Genomic DNA, 23366 nt, shown 5'->3' with positions numbered 1-23366 from the left:
GTTGATTCTTAACCATATGCCTCTGTCCCCACAGCTCTGCATATCTGGAATGCCCACTTCTCCACCTGTCCAGTCATATATTTAATTCAGACTCTTGGCTTCCATCATGAAACGTTCCTCAAATTCTCTGAGCCCTTGCCTCCCCAACATGAACTCTCTTCACAGTTAGAAAAGAAATAAAAAACAAACTCCAGAACTTTCAAACATAAGAGGAATGTAAGTTTCCAGATTCAAGAATACACCGAATGCCCAGCAAGATGGATTGGGGGAAACCTACATTAAAGAACAACACCGTGATTTATGAAAACACCAAGCTTAAAGAAGAAATCCTAAAAAGTTTCTAGAGAAAGGAAACAAAAGATCAGAAATGAGCATGGCTTTAGATTTCTCAACAGCAACCTTGAGAATTAGGTGACAATGGTGTATGCCTTCAAAGTTCTAAGGAAAATGATTTCCACCCAGAATTCTATGCCTTCAAGGGTAAGTATAGAATAAAGGCATTTCAGACGCATTAGTTAGGCTCATGCATCCTTTCTCAGAGAGCAACACTAAGTAAGGGATAAACCGGGAAATAAAAAGACAGATATGTGGACACCCTATTTCAGTCTGTATATCAGAAGTCTCCTAAGTGCAAAAACAGAGGGGTTCTGTCCATGTGGAGCTGTATGCATCTTGCAGGACACCCTTAATAGGGTGAAACTTTCAGAGATCTACCCGGGGCACGGTGTCCACCCACCCTTCTTACTCTGTGCTACTCAATCGCAGTCTGTGCCTTTGTAAAATTCAGGGTGTACATATCCTTTGAATTAGATGCAAGGCCCTATTTGTCTTAATTTTTTTTTTTTTTTTTTTTTTGAGACACGGTGTCACTCTGTTGCCCAGGCTGGAGTGCAGTGGTGCAATCATAGCTCACTGCAGCCTCCATCTCCCAGGCTCAAGAGATCCTCTCACCTCAGCCTCTCGAGCAGCTGGGACCACAGGCACATGCCACCATGCCCCGCTAATTTTTGTATTTCTTTGTGGAGATGGGGTTTCACCATGTTGCCAAGGCTGGTCTCAAACTCCTGGATTCAAGCGACCCACCCGCTTCAGTCCCCCAAAGTGCTGCTGGGATTACAGGCATGAGCCACCAGGCCCAGCCTGTCTTAAATTTATCTCACCGCTCTTCCAAGTGACCTCAAGGCAGGAAACATTTTCTTGCAACTTCATCTAGTTATTTTTTATGAACAGGGAAGAACCTGCCATTATTTTCTGTTACCTGCGGAAATGAGGGAAGATGTGAATGTACTCTTTTGCCCATCTGCCACTTTTGCAGGCAGCCTGATTTTGCCCATTGCAGGAAGCAGAGGGTAGTGGTTAGTATAATAATAATAATAATACACAGCAAGGATGACTTTGGTTTGAACCCAGGTGCGTGACCTTGCTTAAGTTATAGCAACTCTGTGTTCTAATTTCCTTATCTGTAAAGTGGGGATGACAATTAATCTACCTCATAGGTTTGTGTTGAGTATTTAATGTATTGATGCACGTAGAAGTGCTTTGAACAGAGGCTATATGTAATAAACCAAAGTGTTACCTATTAGGGCTTTAGTGATAGCTAGATTGGAAATGGTGGGACTGGGTGTAGAGGAAGGGGTAGAGAGGAGAGCCAGCTTTCTTGATGGCAGCAGTTCTAAGTAACAGAGAGAGAGAGAGAGAGAGAGGGAGAGAATGAGAGCGTGCTATGCACGGGCAAATATCCATTGCCCAAGTTTCAAAGCAGGGATGGCTGCTGAAAACGGATGCCAGACTTTCAATAATTTCGAGAAGGTAAGACTGTCATCCTCCTCCTTTTATTACCAGCCTTGTTTTAATAAGTAAAGCAAATTGTTCTTCCTTTGTGTTTGCTGTTGTTTTTCAAAAATTACCTAGTGACTCTCAAGTTGATTTTTTTCAATGAAATTTAGAATTTTTAGAAAAATTCAAATTCTAGAAATAAGTTGAGCGCAAGCAGCACATCCTTTTAATGTCATATGGGAACAAAGGCCACCTTAGGATTGTAGGGAAATGTACTTAGTTCATTGTTTACTATTGATTAAAGGTCCCAGACTAATTACCTGCTAAGTGAAGTGCTTGCTAAATTGTACGGAAGTTACCTGCTAAGTTGCAGATTTCTGTCCGGTAGAGATGCAGATAATTTCTGTCATTTGAAACAGATCACCTCAAAGAGTTATGGTCTATTGGGCAATAACCAGTTTGTTTGTTTTTTTAAATCAAATTTGGCAATCTTATCCTAACATTTCTTTGTTAGATTGCTTATAAGAAATGAATTGTTCAAACACTCTCAGAATCAGTCTTAATACCTTACTGGTTTCCTCATTAACTAATGAGTTGAATAAAAGTTTTGACATGAGCTTAATATTTGCTGGGTAGTCAGGATGTTACCTTTCTGAAAATTATCTGTTAATAGATTATGTTTTTCCTAAAAATATCTTACTGGGATTTTGATTGGAATTCATTCCATTTATAGCTTCACTGGGGAGAACTGACATCTTTACAATACTGACATTAACTATTCAGCACCTTGTCTGTTTTTCCCTCTCCTCAGAGTTCTATAGTTTCCTTCATTTAAATAATACACATTCTTGGGTAACTTACCTTTTGGTTGTTGTTAATAGGAGTTGTTTCAGTTTTTATTTTCCAACTGGTTATTTTTTGGAATATAAGAAAGTTTTTTGGTGTGTATAACCTAACTTCTTACTGTATTGTTAGGTTATTTTTAATAGATTTATTAAAGCATTTCCATATTTGATTATAATAATGTTATAATCAAATAATGATAATTTTGCTGCTCCTTCACCAATATTTGTAGCTCCTTTATCTTCTCATGAAGCACCTTCAGAACGGTGTTGAGTAATGGAATGGTGGGCGCTGTTGCTTAACATTATCAGGCTTATTGTGAGGTAAAATGTTTAAAAGGCACTGGAGGAAAAGCATATTTTTAGCAACTTAGACACAAGAGAAAGGTATCTTTACTAGCTCCATCTCTATTTTCACCTAGTTCCTTTCTCCTGCCAATATCTCCAGCCTTGAGTCCCCTATGTATTGGAGACAGGAAGGAAGTTTCATTAGTTATTATTGTATTAACCATCTCCATATGTAGCAACCGTAATGTGCTCTGAATTTACCCGGCATCTCAAAAAAAAAAAAAATGCTGCTTTGATTGAGAGATAAAAGGAGGTGATTTTTAATGTTGGAAGTGAACTTAGAGGAAGTGAGTTGGAATAGGATATACAATTCCTGCAGGACAGGGCACCCTGTCCAGGTGAAGAGAAGGGGCCAAACAGCATTCCTGTTCCTGCCAAATGGCCCTGGTCATTGCTTTGGCCTTGCCAAGGGCAGGGCCCCCACTACAGACTATGTGGAGCTGCGAGCTGAATACAGAGCACTCTTCTGTGCCTCTCGCCTGTGGAGCAGGCTTGTCTGTCCCAGATCACACTTGAATAGATGAAAAGAATCCGTTTTTCCCTTGGCCCGAGGCCTGCAGTGGAGGCCACAAAGGCGCTTACAGACAAACTGGAGTGGAAGTGCAGCAAAGAAAGGCTAGAGAAGACTTAGGAAAGTTTAAGAAGACATCAACAAGAACATGTCTAGCTAATGTAGATAATGAGTTATTCAAATGGCCCCTTTGCTCTCATTTGGAGAAATGAACGTTGCAAAGAAACTAATTACGGCCAGCTCCTGTAGTTTTACTGGAATCCTATCTCTCAACATCTTTAAGAAAATCTAGGTAGAAAGAAAGTTATTGGCCCTAAAGGTGGGACCCTGGGAGATGGGAAAACACATCTTGAGCAAGACCGATTTCTCTCCCTCAAGCTTGATACAGGAATTCAAGAGTTTAACCAAAGGAAGAGAAATGCCGGGTTAATGCATGATAATGACACCCAGTTGGGAAACCTAGTAGTGATTTTTATCAAAGCACTTTGTTTGGTGGGTAATTGTGAGAACGGGTCCCTTTGTTTAAAAGTCGTTTTGGGGAATAGCTGGAAAGACAAGTCCTTCCTCTCGTTCTACTCTGGTTAGAGCCAGTGAAATGGGACTGTCACATCTGAGAAATGATCTCTCCTCATGTTCCTGTCCTGAGTGCTTTTTAAAGTACAGTCCTAAGATGTTTCGGAGACATCTGTCTGTAGTCCTAACCCAGCGTTCAACAAGGAGTAGGATCCACAGGACCTAAGCTGCCAAGGAAGCCTGATTTTTCTAGGTACCAAATGAGTTAACTTTTGGAAACACGTATTTTGAGAAAAAAAATAAGTAGACTATCAGGACTACCATAGGGTATCAGGTCTACGATTTTAAGGGTGAAAGTTCTTCTACACTTTTTCCTACAATTTTATTTCTGCCCTTGTTTCCTAGCTGGCTGTTTCTGGCCTTTGGTGGAGGATGGTGTTTTGGAATGTCTGGCTTAGGGCACCTATGTCGACACCACTAGGGATGCGTGTTAAAGTGCAGACCCCCGGGCTCCACACTGGAACTACTAAATCAGAATATCTGAGAAAGAGGAGCAACGTGTGTGCCTAATTCTCTCAAGTTTGAGGAGAACTGGGGTTCTGAAGGCACAAAGACCTGAGTTTAAAACACAGTGTTACTGGTTACTGTATAATGTTAGGCAAATTATTTAGCCCTTGTCTTCAGTTCTCTGGGCTGCAAAGCAGGGATGATTCTATCTACTTGAAATTGTTCCAAATACTGTCATATTTATAATTAACATGAACCTTTAGAAGGAGCAGAAAATGTTTGATACACGTTATTGATTATGTTTGCTATCTTACATCAAATATTTACTCTGCTTCATCCCTAGCTGTTAACATTGATGCTATTCTCCCAGCCTAGCTGCCAGAGACTCCCGAGTGGCTGCAAATCAGCGTGGTTTATTTACATCTTACCCGTCCTTCCTTAGCGCTAGGTAATGAGTCTTCCTATACACCCTGCCTTATAAGCAAAGAAGAGCCAGTCGATGTGTCCCAGGGTTACCCAGGACCCACAATAGGGACAGGCTTCCCTATTGCTCTTGACCCCACAGTTTCCTGCCTTGGTTTTCTTGTCTCTGCCCACTGGCTCTGTTTCTATCCGCAGCTATGCTCAACTTTTCGGTCCCTTCAGGCTCCTTTTGCTGGCCCTTGCTGCTCTTTGAAGTGCAGGCTGTAGTTATTTTCTTCTTACTCCCAATTCTCCCATCCAAGTACTAACCAGGACCGACCCTGCTAGCGAGATCAGATGAGATCGGGTGCGTTCAGGGTGGTATGGCTGTAGACATATTCACAATTCTCTATTAAAGACTCTCCCTTGTTCATTCCCTTTCCTGTGGAACTCCCAGTGGTGCAACAAGGTCCTGCATGTCAGAGGAAGGGGATCCAGATAACCCACACTCAAATTCCCGATGAACACATTCAGAATGGCAGACATATTCAGAACGGCAGAAACATTCAGAATGGCAGGAAACAACTGGACTATTTGCTTAGAAATACTGGTCTTCTGGAGTTAGAGACTTTCGTCCTTACTCCATTTTATGAAAGTCTTCGTGTTTGCTCAAGTCTACTCTTTTGTCTTTCAAGGCTGAAAAGTGCGTCTGCGACAGCCTTTTCTGGAAGGAAGGTGTGTTCAGTGGGTTGTGTGGGAACAGTTCAAACAGCATTGTGAGCATGACAGCTTCCAAGTCAAGGAGTTGGTTATTAATTGCTCAAAGCTTGAAATGCCAAATATATGTGAGTGGGAGGTTATGATTTCTCATTCTCTGTCTCTCTCTTGCTCTCGTTTTTCATACGTAAGTTTCAGCAGTTGGACACTCTCCCCAAGAGAGCAGCGTAGAAAAGAAACATCCGTGGCACAGTTGTCCCTCCTTAATGGTTGAGTGCACAAAAGTTACATATAAAAAAGGTAGCATGAAGTAATAATGCTCCCACAGACTCTCAAAACACCAACTGTAAGCTACTTCATTCTTATGCCATTGTAAGGGAAGGAGTTGGGCAATATTATCATCCCCGGTATTCAGGTGTGAGATTGGAGGAATGGAAGCATTCAATCATTTCCCCAAGGTCGCTCTGTGAGTCTCTGGTGGAAACTGAACTTCAGTAACAGCGCAATTAGCACTTCATAAGCACCTGGTAGACCTTGACACTGCTGATCCTGGGTCCCTGGAGATGTACAGCTATTCTCCAGATAAATACTCTCTCTCTCTCTCTCTGTCCCTCTCTCTCTCTGTGTGTGTGTGTCTCTCTCTCGCTGTCTCTCTCTTCTTCTCTTTGTCACACACACACACACACACACACACACACACACACGTACATACCTATGGTTGCATAGAAACAGGAACCTTCACTCTTCCTGGGCTCTGCTTTTCACAGGGTAACCAGGTATGTTATACTGTGATAACACACCTCACAGACATGTGTGTTGGGTTAAAGAAAATCCTGGATTTGTAGATAAAAAGAACTATACCATCTCTGTGGGGATTACAGTACCAGTCCTGAATTCTGGGATATGACTGATCACAGTTATATTGCTTAGAAGTGAAATGAAAAATTGAGGTCTGAATAAGTTTAATTCAATGAACATGCAGTAATAAAGATAGGCTACAAGGTAAATAGATTTATATTTACAGAAAACCATACAAATATAAAGTATTTGGGAGTAAAAATTAATGAATATGTGGACCAGGTCCTGAGGGAATATGCTAAGAACTGAACCTATTTCCTATAATAAACTGAATTTAGGCAATAATTAGTACCAGCCAGCATTAATTGTGTTCCCAACTGCTCAAGGAGTTTAGTCAATTATAAAATTGTAACGGTTCTACCAGAACATGCGTGAACTTGGGGACTTTTCTGGTTTCATCAGCCAAGGCCCAGGGCCAAGACCTCAGCATAAAACCAGTCTTTGCGACTCTCCTCGGGACTTCCCAAGGAAAAATGGGAAATCAGTGTCAGATAGTGTTTTAAGAAACAGCTCTCCTGGGACTCACTTTTTAACTAAACAAAATCCTTAAGGCAAAGGACTGAGGCACTAGGCATGGAATTCTAAGTATCAGCCGGTGGGTGTGGGAAGAATTCTGACTCTCAGAAGTCTGTGTTGTGCACACACCTTTAGTGATAAGATTGCTCCACCAGCCATTACAAGTTAGAGAAAAAAAAAAAAAAATCATGACACTAGAAATGTCCAACAACAGGGGACTAAAAAAATATGGCATAGACATATGATTATATACAAATAATGTAGAAATATTTATTGGCAAGAAAAGTTTAAAAAGCATTAAGGGGAAAAAAGCAGATTGCATGCATTATTTTCAGTATGATCTTGTTTCTGTTAAAATTTTTTATATATATCCATGTACATGAAGACATGTAGAAGATATGTACCAAAATATTAATAATGATTACCTCTGAATTGTAGTTATGAATTTTTCCATTTTACTGCCATTTCTAATTTTTTTAAACCAGGGGCTTGTGTTGTTTTCTCTCTTTTTAAATCTTTTTGTTTTCCTCAAATATAGAACACTATACAGGCTACTCTGAATAAAAATGGTATTTTAATTTAACATAAACACAAAAGGCTATCCTCCCTTTTATCTCCTAAAGTAAGGAGAGATTCATGAGCTGCTTAGTAGTTCATCAATCATTCATGTGTCCTATGTTCCAGGTGTAGAGTATGGGAATCTAGGCTAAACAAAGCTGCGCTGCATCCTGTGTTCCTCCATAGAGAAGACTGAGGAAATTTCCACAGCAGCAGGATACCAGGCAGAGTTTCCAATGGCAGTGGGCTACTGCCATTCATTTTATTTCTCCCACCCTGGACACATGTAGAATATCAAGGTAGTCTTTGAGGTAGGACAGTTCTTGTGATCTCTTAGGTCATCTCATTGGGTTCCTGCTGTTGCTGGCCATGGGGCCATCCCTGACACTTTAAAATTAGTTACTGACACAGATTCCTAAAAGCATAGTCTGAGATATAAAAGTTATTTCTGAGAAACAAAGTTGCTTCATTCTGAAGACTACGTTTAGAGGTTGTGCACCAGCAGACAAGAGTTTATGTAACAGTTTGTCTTTGTTCCTCGAGCCATGTGTGACCTTTCTGCTCCTTCCTGCTGACACCATCCCCGACCGAAAAAGACAATCTGCTCAGCTTAATGTCCCTCCTTCCCTCTGGAGCCTTCGTGGAGTGTAGTAACAGCAGCTGCATGACTTGTACATAATGTAAATACTTTATTTACTTTTGTATTTAATTTATGCATCTGTCCAATGTTTGCACAGCTGTTTGATGTCTGTATACTCGGAGATTAGCTTTTGTGGGTTTTGTCGATCTTAAACCCAAAGCATAGAGAAATGGAAGGGTCTCATTATTTGCTTTTCTTTGCCCAGCCTCCAGCATGGTACCATACAGATGAGAACTTAATGAAGAAGGATGCTTCTGAGTAAGATTTAGTCATCTCCTTGAAGATACTTTTCTCCTTTGGAAAAGGAAGAATCAAACTTTCCTGAACTTCTCAGGGAGAACATGGTGGTTGACTTTGTTTCTTCTGTCAAAGGACATCATTATAGTACCAAGGTGACATCGAGGAGGTTTTAACTCTCCCAAAAAGTTGCACCAGAGGATTTGGGGAGGTGTAGGATGTGACAGCCAGCCCAGAAGCAGGGCTAGTAATTATAAAATGGGTGACGATGGAAAAATTGCTCTCTTCTTCGGGGTTACTTGCCCATCAAAGAACAGCAAGGACTGGGCATGTGAAATGCCAATGGTTTGGCTAATCAACACGCCACAGCTTAGCTGGAGTCACTGTACTTGAATGTGGTTTTGTTTTTAATGCTGTGTTCTTGTGGGCATGGAAAGAGTTACAGCCAACTGCCCCAGGTATGGTAACTAGAGGCGGTGGTGGAAATGTAAATGTAAGGACCCTTTGTCTTCTCCCCTCCAGTAGTAAAGGGGACGAAAGAGAGTGGAGAAGGATTGCACTCTTCTGGTGGACTTTCTCCTGTGATGCACAGAAATGCACGGATAACGTTAAAAATATTTTAAATTGTATTTATTTATATATTTTAGAGATGGGGTCTTGCTATGTTGCCCAGGCTGGTCTCAAACTCCTGACCTCAAGTGATCCTCTTGCCTTGGCTTCCGTGGTACCTACCTGTAATCCAAGCTATGATCGCTTGAACCCAGGCATTTGAGATGAGACTGGGCAACACAGTGAGACCCCCATCTCTAAAAAAGTATCGTCTTGTTTTGTGTGACCTGGCCATCAACACATATTTACAAAAAAGAGATATCTCTCTTTTATTATCATAAAGCATAGACTGAATTTTAGATAGGTTTTGAATCTCTCTGTGCCTGAATTTCTCTCAAAATTAATAGTGCCTCATATTTGATAAAGCACTAAGTTTTCTTTTGAAAGGTGCACAGAAAACTCTGCATTGCCTAAATTATAATTTTCTCAACTATTTGACCCAACCTATCACTGTTGTAGTATTCTTTAACAGAGCATTCTGTTACCATGAGTAAGGGAGTTGCTGCTTTTTTTTTTTTTTAAATCAATCAAGAACTACAGATAAGTACTTTTAAAATCAGACCATGACTGGGGAAAGCAGGAGTCAACGAGTCAGTTTGAGTCTGTTATCAGCTCTGCCTGAGACTGGCCTTTTATATCACTCTGAGGAGTAATGCTGTTTGTTTTCAGCATGAAATACATAAGAGAAAAAATTAAGTAGGGAACAGGAGAATAATATTTGGATAGGGTAGTTTTATTATTTTGTCTGACACATTATGTCCCCTAGCCCTCAGTATATCCAGGGATCATCTATGCTTAAAGTTAAATACAAGATAACTTCCCAAGCCAAGTACAAGTGATTTTAAAAAATAATAAAATGCCTTATAGGATTACCTACTACAGTTCTTAAGTTGCCCAGGAAACATCACATCACTGCATGCAGTGTCAGAGACATCGGTAAATCCTCCGCCAACAAGTATTTTGAATATAGCAGAAAAACACAGATGTTTTAGACCTTCTGAGATGCATTAAGTTCTGGAAACTGGAAGCCATAAAAGACAAAATCGTGGGAGGGGAATTGCTGGGAGCACCCTGGGAAAGCAGCCACCCTGGAGTTGAGTGACCTCTCTTTGATCTCTAGCTTTCCCAAGTCACTTTCCCATGCATTTCCTCAACACTGGTTTCAGTTCTTTAGATCTAATAAAAGCCTTTGGGGTTGGGAGCATCACTGAGTAGAGTGCTGATTCAGGCCAAGCTTGGAGGGAGGAGTGGAGCATTCAATGTGTTTACAGTAAAGTGTGTGTGTGTGTGTGTGTGTGTGTGTGTGTGTGCGCGCTTATGAGTAATAGCAACTTCTCACCACTGTCACAGCCACCAATGGGAGATTTAGCTTCCTCCAAGTCACCTCAATTAAACATACGCTCTAAATAAAGCAGCATGCTTGCTGGAGACAGAGCTTCAAAAAGTCCCCTAGATCTCTTTCTCCTTCCAAACATTTTGCTGCCCTGAAGCATGTCATATATAGAAATGTTATAGTTGCCTCTTTGTTCATTCATTCTTTCAAGGATCTCCACATTATATTGTTTGATAAGAAGTGGAATTAATACTTTACACAAATGCTTGCATTTCCGTGCTATTCCTTTCACTTCCTGATCATAGTGCACTCTGACTATAAAATGGATTACGTGTTGTTCCTCCTAATGCTTCAGTATATAGAGCCTCCCATGGTAGGTGATATACTTGGGTGACTCTACAGGTTGCTTCGCGACTTCCAAAAGTTTTTTCTGATAATTTTGGAAGTGCTGCATGATTTAGAAATGCTGATTCACTTCAGTCTTTAGACACATTGAAAAAATATATTATTTCTTCCTCATTTTCAAAATATTACACAAAGAAGTTTGGAAAGTAATAATAATCACTGTTCACTTGCAAAATTCCTTTCTTCTAAAACATTTTTATAATAATTAAGTCATTCTATCTTTATGATACCCAACTAAAGAGGACAGCGGGCAAGCCCATTTTACAGATGGGAAAACAGATGTTAATTGCCTTGTCCAAGACTACATAGTGAGATAAGATAAAAAATGAAAGGGAAACTTGTCCTCCTAAAATTTATGTTCTTTCTCACCATGGTGATTATTTCAGTTTGGATTGAGAAGCCAATTCATATAATTTGGCTTTTTCTGTGCCTTTAATTTCTACATATTAAAACCTAATTGCAAGGTTAGACTGTGATTTTGTCCTACGGGCACTAAATTCCTCATGTAATATGTACCTTTCTCTGCTGAATCTTGATATTTTCTTAGATTTTCAGTATAGTTTGTCTTGATTTGACTTGCAGTGCACTGCAAATGATATAATTTTATTGTGGAATATATGAGGCTGGAGGGCTGGGGAGAGGTCAGAGCTGAAAGTACAGGAAATTTAAATTACATAATGTTACACTTTGCAATTGTTTCCACTTGTACTAAGTATAAAGATAGATCCATGGCAATACACAACAGCAGGTAAGAAGTGTGTATAAAGACTTTGCACCCTGATAGTACCATTTATGTATTCATTTGGCATAAACATACCCATTTGTGAATAAACAAAGTCCAGGCCCTCATGGTGCTTACATTTTAGGAACAGAGTCCAATAATAAATATTGATTACACAACATAATCATGTAGTGATAAGTGCTATGAGAAAAAAAAGAAGCAGAGTAAGGGGACAGAGAAGGCAGAACTATTTTATATAGTAGTAGGAAGGTTAATTTAAAAGCCAGGAAGGTGGAGTCTTCCTGGCAGGTCTGAGAAACCTCAGGAGGGAGGTGGGTGTGGCTGAGGCAGAGTGAATGGCAAAAGGTAAAAAACTGAACTGGTGAGTCAGGGCTGAAAGGACTTGAAAGGCTGGGAAAGGACTTTGGATTTTATTGCAGTGTGATTAGAAGCACAGGGCCCTGGAGTGTTTTGGGCAAGAACAAGGACATTATCTTACCAATGCTTTACAATAAATTCTCTGGTGGCTGTGTAGAGGCTAGACCGTGGAGGGGAAAAAGTGGAAGCAGGGTGATGGTTCGTCTGTCCCAGTCACCCAGGAGAAAGATCACGGGGAGGGCAGACATGGGTGTTCGTGGTTAAGAGAGAAGGATGCGATTGGCTTCCGTACCATTTGAAGGTAGGCTAAAATGAACGTGGTGATTGAAAGGAAGAGATATTTTTTGTCCTGTGATGAGGCAGACTTGGAGGAATCAGTTTTGGGTTTTGTTTACAATATGGAAATCAAAAGTTCTGTTTGAGACACATTAAGTGGGAGATATTCAAATGGAGATGCCTGGAGGCAGCAGGATATAAGAGGGTGGAGTGCTGGGGAGGGGCCAGGGTTAAAAGTAGAGGCTACTTAAAGCCTTGCTGGAGGATGCTGCCTAGGGTGGCAGTGTAGAAAGAGAACAGGAGGGGCCCACGGTCAGAGCCCTGGGGCAGGCAGCAGATAGAATCACAGAGGAGGCCAAGGACCCCATTCAAAAGTGGACATGTCAATAGGTGGAGTTGGTGTTAAGGTTTAAAGACTGAAAAAAAAAATTTCATAGGAGAATAACACAAAGTTCTGAATTACTATGATAGAGGTTCATGATGAAAATGTGATAGGGAAAGGAGAGAAGATGGAAAGTTTATCATTTCAATGAATGCATCAGGGATTAATAACATCTCAGTGAACAGCAGTACTGGTGTTCCTTAAAATGTTGCCCATGGTAGTGGGCATGGATTCCATGTTTACAGGGGCTGTTTCACGAGCGTCAATATTAGCAAGGAGTATGCTACAGACAGACAACACATCTTTTTTTGACATCTCTTTTTAATAGGGACACAATATGCAGCTGGCGCTTTGGCCAGGAAAGAATAAATAAGCAAGACAATGTCAATTGTCGCTTTGGGAAAATTCTGTGTTAAAATTCTCTATGAAACCTGGCCTACTTTCAGCAACTTTTCTCAATACAGCTGTTGAGCATTCTCAATTTGGGGATGCAAATAAGCTTCTTCTCTCTCCCTTGCTCAATTCCCAGGCCATCTTTCAAACTCAAGGTTAGGTACGTATTGCAGTCCTCTGTGTGGCTGCCCTCGTCACTGGCCCTACTTGTCTGCACCGTGACGCTGCTTCAGCGTCTAGAGGGGACTGCAATGCAACAGATCTGAGATGCCAGGAGTGAACCCAGATGCTACCTCCTGGCAGACAGCAGTGCCAAGACTGAGAAAGGAGGCCAGCCTGAGGTCTCCAATAGCTTCGGCAAGAGGGGGAATTTGTTTTTTCCCCTCCCCTCCTACCCCTCACCTTGTACATATTGAATCAAACCATACATAAGCTACACATTCAGTTATTTAACATTGGACAGACTTTTTCTTGTATAAGGAATGTTGCAATTTTTTGTGATTTATGTATTTAATCATTAAGGGTGTTATTAGGACAGAGGTAATTGATTACAAACATCTGAAACGCCAAGGGCAGATGGCTGCAGAGTTACCCAGCAATCACAACTTCCAGTTCATATGCAGGTTTGGCAATAATAACTAGGACACAGGACATTTGGACAGTGTGGCCCAAGGAGAGGGAGTGCTGGCTCAGAATGAGGTTAAGGAGCATCACCAGCACCCTTGAACTTGCTCAAACACCTCTAATCTTTGGAAAACACACATGGCATCCCTTTGTTCTCTTCTATAAACTAGATATACTACATATAAGGAGAGAAAGTTACCAAAATGTTTAGAGGCTCTAAAGTAAAATATCTGTGTCATCCAATGTATGCATAATCCTAGCTCTTTTATATATTATGTACCTCCACCACTTAACCATAAACCATTTAACATCCATTCAGCTGCTGTGGCTGACTTTCAGGGTGCGGTGGTGAAACTGTGGGATGTGAAGGATTTCTGAAAAGAATGCATATTGTCATCGAGTAGCCAAGAGACTGGGGCCTTGGGCAAAACTTGCTTCTCATAGTGACTTGGTTTTCTGTCCCACACGACTTCCTCTTGCTATCACAGGATGTTTGTGTTTAATGCTCAACAAACCCCTAGAACAACAAAAGCTACCTAATCCATACCTGTCCCTCTCTGGCAGAGATGGCTCTCTGTGGCCCAAAGATGAACCCCAGGGAATTGCTGCAGTTTGGTGAAAGAAGAGTTTTAAACTATGGCCTTATTATGCTGAAGTCGAAGGTCTCTAGTTTTTGTTCTTTACCTTGCTGTTTCTGTAGCACTTAGGAGGTATCCATGAAGACCCTTATGAATCTCAGGTGCACCTGACTATTTCCAGCAGAGGGCTGCCATGCATTTATTTCAAGTTGGCTTCTTTCAAATTTTCCCATCCTAGTTTGTGCTTCTAGGCAAATCTTCTCATTCCATCCCTTCCCTAGTACTTGTTCTTTAAAGCAACTTTGATTACACTGAAGCTGGAAGAGTGGGATTATTGTGCATGTTCACTCTCTAATTTCTCTCCAGGATGTGGTGAAATCCTGCTTCACGTATGCCCTTGACATTCTGCTAATCGCGGTCAAGGCCACGTTTTATATTCAGTGACTCCCACTGAAATGACTAAATGCTGAGTGGACCCAAATTACTGCAGTGACATTAGATGATGCAGTATTTGGCATCGGTAGACTTGAGAATAAGAGTGAATTCTGTAGGTTAATCACCCCCAACATTTATTTAGATACCAAACTGAGTCAGAAGTGAAAGGTACACGCTTGAAAGAAAAAAATGAAAATAGAACGCGGTAGAATGTCAAGATATCTTTCCTGTATTCTGTGACACAGATGGTCGTTGCAGGTGGAAGTGCTGCACCGCCTTTGGGGGCTGAACAAAAGGAACAGGGGAAGCACCAAGGGCAGTGCCATCCACAGGCAGGGGGTTCCCAGGGAGCTCCTTCCCTTGTCTCCAAAACCTCTTTTCAGTCTAGCCACGCACCTTCAGTTTGGCCACTCTTTCACCCTTTCTTGTCCTTTCTCTCCCCTGCCATGCCACTTTCAATTTTCTGGTCCATAACTCTGAATGAAGAAGCCAACTGAAGGAACTTTTAGGCCCCCGGATTCCAAATAATAACCGGGGCGCGTCCATTCTAGACCCAAATGTGCAAGGGATGGAGAGGCGAGGATCTTCCTGACTTGAGGCAAAGCCCCCTCTCCTCCGCGGCGCGGTGACAGTGTTCTGGGGGTCAGCTGGGAGTAGAGAGGAGCCACTGCCGTAGTCTCGGAGGATGCCTCTTCCCGGTGCTACTGCTGCTGCTGCGGCGGCGGCCGGTTTTTTATTTTTGCACCGCAGCACAATGCCGGGGCCGAGGCAACAGCCTACGTCGGGACCTCTCAGGCAGCGTCTCTACCCACTTCGCGTTCCCTGTCCCCCAGTCCCCTAGGGGCACCCGCCGAACGCCCCTCGGCGCCCCACCGCAGCGCACGTGCGCTCCCGGGACAACAGCAGGCGAGGCTTCGGCGCGCCCCCGCCCCCTCGGCCGCGCGCGCGCTCCGCCCGCCGCCCGCCCTCCTCGCGCGTGCTCGTGCCCGCGGCCGCGGCGGCGCGCCTCTTCTCCCCGCTGCGGGCGTCGCGGGTGCAGGAGGAGGCGGAGCGGAGGAGGCGGAGGCTGGGCGGGCGGCGGGCTCCGGCGGGGGCACGCGCCGGCCAGCTGGGCGGGGGCGCTGCGGGGGCGGCCCGAAGGCGTCAGGGTGAGAGGCTCTGGAGCCCGAGGACCCGCGTCCCCGGGGGCCGACTCCGCCGCGGGAGGGCGAGCGCGGTGCGTGCCGGAGGTGGGGACTTGGAGGCCGCGGCCCGGCGCCCCCGCCCCCGAGCCTGACGGGGCGCGAGGCGGGATGAGGCGCTGGCGCGGGGGACGCCCGGCCGAGCCCCCGCGGCTGCCCTCGGCGGCCAGGCGCTAGGCTCGGCGGCGCGGGCGGCGCTCGGCGGCGGCGGCGGCGGGCGGAGGGCGTCGGGCCCGGCCCGCGGAGGGCAGACACGGAGCGGCCAGCGGGGCGCAGGGACGCCGCGGCGGCGCGGCGGGGCCGCGGGGCTCGGTAAGGCGGGCGCGCGGGAGGGCCGGGGGCGCCGGTGACGTGGGCAGGCCCCGCGGGGAAGGCTGCGGGGGGCCTCTCTTTCCTTCTTAAAATATTCTTTTTAGAGTGAGGGTTCCGGATCGCATGCTCCCGGAGGAGCCTCTCGGTTGTCCCCCCGCCCCCGGCCCCATCTCCCCGGCCTCCCGGGGCGGACGGCGCTGCGGGCCCACCGCCTCCCGCGCCCGCGCCCCGCGCTCCCCGCGGCCTCCGCGAGCCGGGCGTTCGGACGGCGTTCTGGCCTGCCGCAGCGCTCTCCGCCCCGGGCCCAAGGCGGGCGGCAGCCGCGACTCCTGGGAGCGGCCGAGTGGGGGCTCCAGGGACACCGGCGCTCCCGGAGGAGCCGCGGGAGCGTTTCCCTCCGCTGCCCGCGGGCGACATCGCGGGTCCCGCCCCCAGGTGTGCGTGGGCCCCGCGGGGCCAGAGGTCTCTGCTCCCTTAGGCTCCCGTGGAGTTCCCCCCTCGTCTTTCCGATTGACTGAAGTTGCCGCTGCATGTTGGACGACGGTGGTGCATTAGTGCCTTTTTTCCCCCTCGCTTCCTCGCCACCCCTGTACCTTGGTTTCCCGTTTTTTGACTTTATCAAATATTTATGTTAAAGATTTTCTTAAGCAGTACACAAGAAACGGTAGGGAGAGAAAATCAGACTTGGTTTCTTAGCTTTAGTCTACCTTGGACCTTTTGTAGCTTCACCTTCTGTTTGTGAAACTTGAAGATGGAAGGAAGGAGGAGACCCAAGCAGAATGCTTGGGATGCAGTTTAATAGTCATCTTTTAGGAAATAGAATTTGGATAATTATAATTTTGATCTGAATGCAGAGTTACAATCTGTCTTTAAAATGCTTGGGGCACTGCGTGATGCTACATGGCTAGCTGGCAGCTGGGCCATAGCATTGTTGTCAGCATCTCTTTTATTTTCTATTCTTTCAGAGTTTTATTTGGCACAGATTTAGACCTTTTAAGTCAGTCTGAATGGGGATAACTTTTCTGATACATTGGTTGCTTTTGTAAACATTGTCTATGTTTGTATTTCTATTGGAAGAAGAAAAAGCAAATGGTGCTGGAGTGCGGTGGCTCTTAAGAGTCTCCACAGTTTGCTAGTTTGAATCAGTGACTGGATTTGTTGTAATATTTTTGAGTATTTATGGTTGTGACTCAATATATCCTTCCTTATTGGATACATTGAAGTCTAACTGAGAATCGATATTTGTTCCTTGGACTTGAGTGTGAAGGAAAGAGAAGCTTTAATTACTACTACAACATGACCTCAAAGTTTTTCAAGTACTCAATGTTGTGTTTTCTTTTTAATGGGGCTGTTTGTGAAGATGAGGCATTAGGATGTTGTGATTTCCATTTTCAGGAATGTCTGGAGTCTGAGTCATTCTTGGAATTGGATATATGGTGATGCTTCATAGAGCAGGTGTCTCTATGGAAATGTCAGGTTGGAATTGTGTTTAAGCCAGTTATCTTCGTACCGTGGTCCCTATAGCAGTCCGTGTATAAAGCAGCACTTTGGACAGAGACTTGTCTGGACACAGCTAAGGTGGAAGCCCAGTTTACTGTATGATCGTTCACATTGAGGTGGGTGACAGGGTGAAGTAGTGGGGGAGAAAAACATAAGTGGGACAGAGAGGAAATGTTAGTTGGAAGAACCTTCTCCAGTTATGTAACTGTTTTGTTTTCTAGGGAGAGACTAAGAACCAGCAAGACAGGCTCAACTGTCTTCTTTAGAGCCTTTGATGTTGGTTTGAATTCCAGTAGTTATGTTCCTTCTGTGTTCATTTCCTAACCTCCGTATCATTTTCCAGTCACCAAAAGCTTTTCTGAAGTTGGCCTGCGACACTAATGGCAATACATTCATCTCTACTTTCTCTCTCTCTCGGTGCTATATAAACGATGTTTTTATTGTTGCTTGTTCTCTCTTGACTTATTCAAGTGTTTTCCTTCCCAAGCTGACCTGAGTATATTATCTGCACACTGTATGTTGATCGTAGACGCATGTAATAAATGTTAAGGACTAGGCATCTGTTTTCTTCATAAGGCTGTGGTAGCAGAAGAATGAAACAAAAAGGAACTTAACATAGTTGAACTTTTAAAGAGTAAGACTAATATTCTTGAGAATTTTTCGGATTTAACCCATGATTGTGAAGTCCAATGTCCATGGAAGTAGTCAGGAGGCAGCAAGGACTTGAAGTTAGGTTGTGGTTGCAGTTCTGCCCCATAGTAGCTGTGTGACAGCGTACCTTCCTTGGACAAGTTATTTACATTTCTGAGCTTGTTTGCATTTTATAAAATAGGGATCAGAAGGCTTGCATTGTTTTTCTTACAGAGCTGTGAAGGATCAGATGATAGAAAGGATATGAAAATGCTCTGCAGAACTGTTTTTAAATATGTAAAGTATTGTCATTACGTATAAACTTAGTTACTAACCTATGTTACCTGGTAAATTGGCCTAGCAAACTCTTTTAAATGTTGTAACAGAAATTTAAAAAACATGCATATAAAGGCTGGGCAGGGTGGCTTACACCTCTAATCAAATGCTTTGGCAGGCAGAGGTGGGAGGATCCCTTGAGGCCAGGAGTTTGAGACCAGTCTGGGCAGCATAGAGAGGCCCAGTCTTTACAGAAAATCAAATAAAAACCATTAGCTGAGTGTAGTGGCACACACCTGTAGTCCTGGCTACTCGGGAGGTTGAGATGGAAGGATCACTTGAGCCCAGGAATTAGGGGTTACAGTGAGCTATCATTGTGCCACTGCCCTTGAGCCTGGTCAACAGAGTGAGATCCTGTCTCAAAACAACAACAACAACAACAAAAACAGATAAGGAATGAGAACGTGTTAGATTTCTTCTAGTTCCAAAATTCTGTGCTCTGTCTTATTTAGAAAATCCACCGGTAGTACTTGCAATTTTGAACTCTCTGGAATTTTCAATTACTTGGAGACAGATCAAATTTATTGAGACTGTGAGCTACTGCTGCTGCTGCTTTTTAAAATTTAATAGAGTCAGGGTCATGCTATGTTGCACAGGCTGGCCTCCAAATTCTGGGCTGAAGCGATCTTCCTGCGTTGCCCTCCTGAGCAGCTGGGACTACTGGCCTGTGCCAAGGCTGGACAAGACTTTGAACTTCTTTAAAGTATCAGTTCACAATACCAAAGGAGGTTACAAGTTAATGATTTGTAAGAACTGTTTAGTAAAAAATATTTTAAATTTGTCTGCATTATTTAGGGAAGGGATGGGCAAACTGTAGCCTGCAGGCCATATCTGGCCCATGGCTAAGAATGATTTTTATATTTTTAAATGGTTGAAAACAATCCAAAGAAGGATAAAATTTCATGTCATGAGAATGATATAAAACGCAAATGTCAGTGTCCTTCAGTAAAGTTTTGTAGGAACACAGTCGTTCATTCTTGGGTCTGTGGCTACTTTGGCAGTGCAGCAGCAGAGTGGAGTACTTTCATAGCTCGGCCTGCAGAGCCTCAAGTATTTATTATCTGGTTCTTTAAAAGAAAAGTTTTCCAACCCCCGATTTAGGACTTAACTTTTTTTTTTACTTTAATTAGCATATGTGCTATTTCCTATCATAGCCATTATAAGGTTAAGAATCCTGGAAAGGTACTAATTTTTGTTTTGGAGCCAGATAGACTTGAGTTCACATACCAGCTATGATATTTATAAACATTGATCCTGGACAAACTAATTAATGTCGTGGGACCTCAGAGATTTCCTTTGTGACCAGGGAATATCAGTAGTATCTACCTTGGAAGGTTGTAGTGAGGATTAAATGAAATGGTACATATTAAGGCTTAACACAATCTCTGACATACAGTAAGCACTCAGTAAGTGATAGATGATGATGATTAGAAACTCTAACCTGAAAGTATGCCTAAAATATTTTATATTACCATCACCTCCAGATTATAGAGTTATTTTCCTGAGTGTTATGCTGTTTGCTATAGAATTTTCTCCTTTGCTGAAACTTAGTTAACAGCTGATAAGCGGAATAACTTGAGAAATTTCCTGTATGCTGTAGTGTATTTTTATTAATCACTTGCTGACTTCAGATCATTAAGAATGGGTGGAAAGATACTTCTGTTTTTTATAGATCCTGATTCTTGATAATTTCCCGATAATGTTCTTAAGTTTATAAATTGGATTTAAATACCACTTCTATTTTGGTACTGGTACTGGCTTTTTTTTTTTTTTAGAAAGATGAATGAGAAAAGTCGGTTTTGATTAGGCCAGGGTTGGATAATTTTCCCCATATGTATATGTACTCTAAAGTCTTCCTTATGATTTGCATTAACATCTTTATGGCATGCTTCTCAGAGTTGAAATAATAAAAGCTAATTTTTTTTTTCTAAATAGATCTAGTTTACTATCCAGAGACTTTTATATTACACTGCTTTTTGAAGTATTTGATTTAAATTATCTTACAGTTGAGAAATTTGGTGTGCCTCTCAACTTCAAATGCTGGTTTATTAACATTAATCTCAAACTAAGAGTGAGCAAATAAAAAAGGCCATTGTTCTGAGTTAAACAAAATAGAATTGGGGTCATTGTGGCTCTTGCAGTTCTACAAACTGTACAGTTTCTTGGCCTTAGCTGATGCTTCAGTGAAGTGAGATGATCCAGAGGAGACAGGGGAGGGCACTGATGTTCCCACGCTGTCCTCGGTGGAACAGTGAGATGGAGGCAGAAGGGCTCTTCCACAAAACCAGGGAACAGCACCTGGAAAGGTGTTCTGATTATAGCACCTCAAAAAAAGTAGACCTAAAGAAGATGAGATGCGACAGAGTTTTCTCTTGAGGTTAAAAAACAAACCAAACCAGACGTTTCCTATCTGGAGAGATGAAGCTTGAGCAGGAATATTCCCCAAGGTAGTAAAGTGTAAGGATTTTATAAAGTAGATATTTTCAGTTTTACTGGACAAGGGAGGGCTAGTCTTGTATTTAAAGGAGATTGTTGTAGGACAAGTAAGAGGAAGTGAGAAATGGGTGTTTGGTTTAATTTCTCATGAGAAAAACATGAATCTGAATGTTCAGAATAGAAGTAAAATTCTGGCTTTCAAAACACAGTTGTTTTTTTTTTTTTGCTTCCGGCTATGTATCTATTTACTATTTTATTTTATATCCTGGATTATAATATACATAATATTGGAGGCTGTGGAGATGGAAAGCATTGAGAGGAAAAGCATGTGTGAACCATTCATTATGGAAATGTTATGTCCAATTTGTCTCTGTTTGAAAAGATAAGCATCATACTCTAGGAGAGAATCTTCTAGAAAATTCTATCAGTTTGCCCTAAAAATAGTAAAATCCTTATTTGGATTTCAGCCTTGTGATGTGAAGCAAGCCATTTGACTCCACTGCTTTTATTCCCTGTGTGTAGCATGGAAACAGTAATTCCTGTTCCTCCTTTCATTGGAGAAATATAGGTGGTTGAAGGACTCTTAAGATGAGTAGCATCTTCAGTAGCTGTGCAGAATATATCATGTGAAGTTCAGTAATTACCCAGGATATCAAACACAGACCAAAAAAGTGAAGCAACTTTTAACAGGAAAATGAGTTTTGAACCTGGAGTCAAGAGGACCTGGATGTTTGTCTTGGCTCTGTTGTAAACAGCTTGTGACTTTGGACAAGTAATTTCTGTCTCCAAAGGTCCAGTTTCCATTGACCTACCTAAGGAGAATCTGACAGACCTTCCTTCTTGTTTTATATTCAGTGGCCCTCCAGATTAAGTAGGAATAGCAATCCTGACACAGTAGGATAAGGGAAACCACATCTCTTTGTATCTGTGAACTGACAAGTATCCACTGAGTACATCTGTGTGTCTCCTGCCATGCTTCAAGCAGTGGAAGATAGATAGGTAAGAAGGTGTCATTGAGTCTTTGCCCTCAGGAGGTGTTCATTTCATGGGGAGACAAACTATTTTATGAAAAGGAATATTATAAGTAAGCAAGGAGATAGTGGAATGATCTGGCAGTTTGAGGACTTGTGATGTACTATTGGAGAGGATACTTTGTAGCCTTGTGACCTTGAACATGTAAAATGGGCTTTGTAGACTCCCTCCAACTCTGAAATTTGGTCATTCTGTCTTTGATGGAGAAGCAGCAGCTCTGAATCAACCTGTTGGTAGACAACCCAAGTAAGAACTGCTCAATTAAAGCCAGATTTTTACACACATTCTGCGTAATTGATTTAGTAGATGGAAGGAAAGGTTTACTTTAATTTACTAGAAATGCAATCAACGGATAACCCTTCTGAAAAATAAAGCGTGCGAGAAGTGACAAGAGACCAAAGTGAGCTTGTTCCTGAGGCAGTACATTTGTGCCTGGATCTCATTTCTTCTTGCCTACAGGTCTTCTATTCTAGCAGTTTTCTTTCCTAAGATATCATTCTCTCTTTACTGAATCCTCTTTCAGTTAGCATCCATGCCTTTTGTTACTTGCAGCAGTGATAGCTAGTTGTCTACCCAATGCCATTCTCTGTGGCTTCCTTTTAGTATATAGGATCCTCAGGGTTTATCTGGGCACATGTTGGCCCAGCTAGAAACTGCATTTCCTAGCTTCTCTTTTATAGTTGGATGTGGACTAAATTCTGGCTAAATGGATGTGGACATAAGTGGTATGTGTGATTTCTGGGTTGTAGCCTTAGAAAGGAAGCTAATCGTTTTCTATTTTCTCTTTATCCCCTTTTGCAGATGAGAGTGTAGGATGTTAATGCACTGATGGGGCATATTATTCAACCTGCAAAGGTGAGGGCAATACCTTAGCGGGGGATGGATGAATAAGATGGATTTTTAGATGATCTTGTGGAGCAGAACTGCCTCCTAGCCTTGTACTTCTCATTTATCTTTGGGTGGTTAGGTGAGAGAGGAATAAAGTTTTATCTCTTGAGCTACTGATGCCTTAAATGAATAAATCACACCTTTTAAACCACCTTTACCTTGGGATCCCCTTCATTTACATTTATTGTCCTTTTTTTGTTTCCTTTTGCAGCAGAAATTTCAAGAGTTGTTTATATTTGCTGTACCTTCTTCTTCACCAGTGATTCTTTAGCCTGATCATTTGAGCTCATCATATGAATTACTCTTCCTGCCAGTGACTTCTTCCTCTCTCTCCCCCAAGTCTTTACCATTTCAGTAAGTGGCATCATCAGCCACCACTTGTGCAGGCCAGAACCCCTGGAGTCATCCTTATCCTTGATTTCTTTTTTTAATTGCACTCCAATGAAATTGTTTTTAATCAAGACTGCAGTGACCTGGATCTTGCCAAAGCTA

At 42.6% G+C, this 23366-nt stretch overlaps 1 protein-coding gene and 2 long non-coding RNA genes across 8 annotated transcripts in view, besides 1 other annotated feature; all 3 read left to right on the top strand.

The window, feature by feature from the left end:
- Positions 40-10238, top strand: LOC124902791 (uncharacterized). The gene is made up of 2 exons (XR_007062950.1): positions 40-480; positions 8394-10238. It is a non-coding gene; the product is annotated as an uncharacterized LOC124902791 (long non-coding RNA).
- Positions 11666-12167: an enhancer, noted in NCBI's record as "NANOG hESC enhancer chr11:129152926-129153427 (GRCh37/hg19 assembly coordinates)". NCBI's record gives its function as "activates a minimal SCP1, AML or CMV promoter by ChIP-STARR-seq in primed H9 embryonic stem cells {active_cell/tissue: H9 hESC(primed)}" and the evidence as "EXISTENCE:reporter gene assay evidence [ECO:0000049][PMID:30033119]".
- Positions 12034-23366, top strand: part of LOC399975 (uncharacterized) — a 49387-nt gene continuing 38054 nt past the window's right edge. Inside the window, exon 1 of the long non-coding RNA NR_145484.1 lies at positions 12034-12172. This is a non-coding gene — a long non-coding RNA (uncharacterized LOC399975). The remainder of the gene's footprint in view (positions 12173-23366) is intronic.
- ARHGAP32 (Rho GTPase activating protein 32) overlaps positions 15566-23366 on the top strand; it is a 314573-nt gene continuing 306772 nt past the window's right edge. For 2 of the 6 annotated variants that reach the window (XM_047427929.1, XM_047427927.1), the window contains exon 1: positions 15566-15707. The gene's annotated coding sequence lies outside the window, so the exon portion shown is untranslated. Of the gene's footprint in view, positions 15776-15986; positions 16053-23366 lie in introns of those variants that run through there. The other 4 variants (NM_001378025.1, XM_047427926.1, XM_047427930.1 and 1 more) reach the window with 3 other exon arrangements.

Source organism: Homo sapiens, chromosome 11 (genome assembly GCF_000001405.40).
Source record: "Homo sapiens chromosome 11, GRCh38.p14 Primary Assembly".
Taxonomy (NCBI): domain Eukaryota; kingdom Metazoa; phylum Chordata; class Mammalia; order Primates; family Hominidae; genus Homo; species Homo sapiens.
The sequence above is the reverse complement of the archived record's forward strand: the minus strand, read 5'-3'. Positions and strand labels throughout refer to the sequence as shown.